The sequence below is a fragment of the Homo sapiens genome, chromosome 3 (assembly GCF_000001405.40).
Source record: "Homo sapiens chromosome 3, GRCh38.p14 Primary Assembly".
NCBI classification, from domain to species: Eukaryota; Metazoa; Chordata; class Mammalia; order Primates; family Hominidae; genus Homo; species Homo sapiens.
The window spans coordinates 72,472,550-72,476,410 of NC_000003.12; the positions used below are offsets into that span (position 1 = coordinate 72,472,550).

Consider the following 3,861-nt stretch of genomic DNA (forward strand, 5'->3'; position numbering starts at 1 on the left):
TGCAACAAGCTGTTCACCAGGGCTGTGGTTTCATTTGAAGGCTCAACATAGGGGTCAAAGATCCGCTTCCCAGCCTATTCACATGTTGGCAGGCCTGGGAAGATACATGTCCAAGTTCACTCATCTGATTGTTGGCAGACTCCTCACCATGGGAGTTCCTCCACAGGCTGCCTGAGTGTCCTCCCAACATGGCAGCTGGTGATCTGAAAGAGAGAGCCAGTGAACAACAGAGTAAGCACAGCAAGACAGAGTGAGGGAGCTCGAAATGGAAGCCACAGTCTTTTTTTAAAAAAAAACTATCTTTTTTTTTTTTTTTTTTGAGACAGAGTCTCGCTCTGTCACCCAGGCCAGGAGTACAGTGTCAAGATCTCAGCTCACTGCAACCTCCACCTCCGGGTTCAAGAGATTCTCCTGCCTCAGCCTCCTAAGTAGCTGGGATTACAGGCGTGTGGCGCCACGCCCAGCTACTTTTTGTAGTTTTAGTAGAGATGGGGTTTCACCCTGTTGGCCAAGCTGGACTCAAACTCCTGACCTCAGGTGATCCACCCGCCTTGGCCTCCCAAAGTGCTGGGATTAATCCAGGCATGGTGGCAGGCACCTATAATCCCAGCTATTCGGGAGGCTGAGGCAGGAGAGTTGCTTGAACTGGCAGGCAGAGGCTACAGTGAGCTGGGATCACACCACTGCACTCCAGCCTGGGTGATAGAGCGAGACTCCGTCTCAAACATAAAGAAAACTATCTTTACCATTTTTAAGTGTGCACTTTCATAGTGTTAAATATATTCACATTGTTGTGCAACGGACCTCCAGAATTTTCATCTTGAAAAACTGAAACTGTACTCATTAAACAACAACCCTCATTTCTGTTTCCCCCCAGCTTCTGGAAACCACCATTCTACTTTCTGTATCTATGAATTTGACTATACTAGGTACCTCATACACATAAAAGCATACAGTCTTCGTCTTTTTGTGTTTGGTTTTTTCATTTAGCATAATGTCCTCAAGGTTCATCCATGTTGTAGCATGTGTCCAAATTTCCTTCCTCTTTAAGACTGAATAATAGCTCATTGTATGTTGCTGTGGTTTGGATGTTTGTCCCCTCCAACACTCATGTTGAAATGTAATTGCCATTGGAACCATATGAAGAAGTAGGACCCTGAAGAGGTGATTAAGACATGAGGGCTCCACTCTTATGGGTGGGTTTAGTGCCTTTTAGAAAGGGCTTTGGGGAGTGGGTTCTCTGTCTGTGTCCTTCTGCTTTTCTGCCATGTGAGGAACACAGTGTCCCTCCCTTCCAGAGGAGACAGCGTTCAAGGTGCCATCTTGGAAGTGGAGATAGGGCTCTTACCAGACACCAAGCCTGCCGGCACCTTGCTCTTAAACTCCCCAGCTTCCACAACTGTGAGAAATAAATGTCTTTATACATTACCCAGTCTATGGCATTCTGTTATAGCAGCACAAAATGGGCTAAGACATGTGTACATGTCACATTTTAAAAATCCATTCATCCATCAGTAGGCACCGATGGGACTGAAGGGTCCGTGCAGAAAGATGGCTCAGGCCTCCAGTGTGCCAAACTTCCCTTTTGATAAGGTTTCCTAAACTTCCCTTTTGATTCACTTGATGGGGGGTGGATATTAAAAAACAGATTCTTGTATTCCTCCACTGGAAGTGGTAAATCAGTCGGCTTCAGTGGGCCCTGGGAATCTGTTTTTCTAAACAATTGCCCAGGGCATTCTTTTTTTTTTTTTTTTTTTTTTTTTGCCTTTTTAAAAAATTAAGGTATAATTCACATACCATATAATTCACCCTTTTATACAATTCAGTGGTTTTTATTATATTCACAAAGTTGTGCAACTACCACCACCATCTGAGAATATTTCATCACCCCATAAAGAAACCCACACCCATTAGCAGTCACCCCCGATTCCTCTCTCCCTCCAAGCCCCTGACGACCGCTGATCTACTTTCTGTCTCTATCGATTTGCCTACTCAGGATATTTCATATAAATGGAACCATGTGATATGTGGCCTCTTGCGTCTGGCTTATTTTACTTAGCATAATGTTTTCAAGGTTCATCTACCATTGTCCTGTATATCAATACTTCATTCCTTTTTACGACTGAATAATATTCCATTGTATGGATATAGCATGTTTTATTTCTTAGTTTACTTGTCGATGAGTCCATGAGATTCTTACCGTAAAGGAAACCTGGGGAAAGGCTACATACTAAATTGTACAGGGAGATCAAAAGCAGATAGGATACCCAGGATGCTTGTAAAAATGCAGGTCTCTGGACCAAACTCCAAATCTCTTGAGTTAGAATCAAGGGGAAGCCCAGAAATCTTTTTTTTTTTTTTTTTTTTTTTTTAAAGACAGGGTCTGGCTGTGTCTCACAGGCCGGATGCAGTGGTGTGATCTAGGCTGACTGCAATCTCCGCCTCACAGGCTCAAGCAATCCTCCCACCTTAGCCTCCTGAGTAACTGAGACCACAGGCTCGTGCCACCATGCCCAGCTAATTTTTTGTATTTTTAATAGACATGGGGTTTTGCCATATTGCCCATGCTGGTCTCGAACCCCTGAGCTCAAGTGATCTGCCTGCCTTGGCCTCTCAAAATGCTGGGATCACACGCATGAGGCACCATGCCAGGAAGCAATCTGTATTTTGAACAGTCTTCCCAGGGAGATTCTTCTGCCTACTGAAACTTAGTCTTGGAGCAGAAGTGAGGTGAAATGGGTAGCAGGAAAAGTGATTATTCCTTCCGAGAACATTGTTTCCAACAGTTTTTAAAGGTAATGTGATGAAATGACAGTTCAACATTTAGCAATATGACTATGATGAAAAGATATGAACAGAAACCACATGAACACAAAACCTTGAGACATACAGAGGAGGGAGTCAAAGATGAGGCCTTTTACTGTTTTTTCGGTTTTCTGTTCTCTCTCTCTGTAGGCCCTGCCCGCTGGGCAGGCCTGCTCCCAGATCAGCTTTTTCTTATATAAGAATTTAACTAAGTGGATCTAATGCCGTAGACTCTTAGAGCAGAAAAGGACTTGGAAGCTTATCTTGTCCAGTGGCTCCCAAACACAGCTGATCTTCCAAAGATTCTTTTGAAAATCCGGATTTCCAACATTCCCCCTTCCCCTTCAAAGTCTGGGACCTTGAAATCTGCGGCTTTGAAAAGCTCTCCAGGTGAATGTGATGGTCAGCCAGATTTGAGCTCCTCTGGGCCAACACTGTCATTTTTCAGAGCAGGAAATTGAATCAACATCAGCCAACTCAGGGAAAGAGCACTACCTAGAACTTAGGGCTTTTAGGTCCTCATGAATACTCTTTCAAGCCTGTGTTGTCAAAAAGTTCTAATCATTAGAATAAATACTATATGGAACCTAAGAATTCAGTTGTTGACACCAGGGTGTAAGCCTGTACACAAATGGACTGTTAGATGTAGGTCAGTCTTTGATACCATCGATAGTAGCGGGGCAATGTCAAATTTTGAAAGAGTGAATGATTAACAAAATTGTCATTGCCATATCAATACTATTTAGAATCAGCAACCATTAGTATTTCAATTCAGGTGATATCTCCCAATGGTCTTATTATTGTTAAAATTTAGAAACTAGAAATTTTGGTCATCAGATATATCATAAATATGGATAAAATTCTCACCCACATATATTTACTGTAAACCTGGAAAATAATGACTTTCCAGCTCAGTGGCTCTCCAATCTCACTCTGTATTAGAATCACCTGGGAGTGTTTAAAACCATACCCTTGACCAATTCTGACCTGCAGGACCTCAAGAAATAAAATCTAGGGCCAGGGCCCAGGCTCATGTGTTTTTAAACCAAGCTCCCC

At 43.0% G+C, this 3,861-nt stretch overlaps 2 annotated features.

The window, feature by feature from the left end:
* Nucleotides 755-804: an enhancer, noted in NCBI's record as "active region_20087". NCBI's record gives its function as "activates an Ori minimal core promoter by ATAC-STARR-seq in GM12878 lymphoblastoid cells {active_cell/tissue: GM12878}" and the evidence as "EXISTENCE:reporter gene assay evidence [ECO:0000049][PMID:35858748]".
* Nucleotides 2,897-3,016: a silencer, noted in NCBI's record as "silent region_14530". NCBI's record gives its function as "represses an Ori minimal core promoter by ATAC-STARR-seq in GM12878 lymphoblastoid cells {active_cell/tissue: GM12878}" and the evidence as "EXISTENCE:reporter gene assay evidence [ECO:0000049][PMID:35858748]".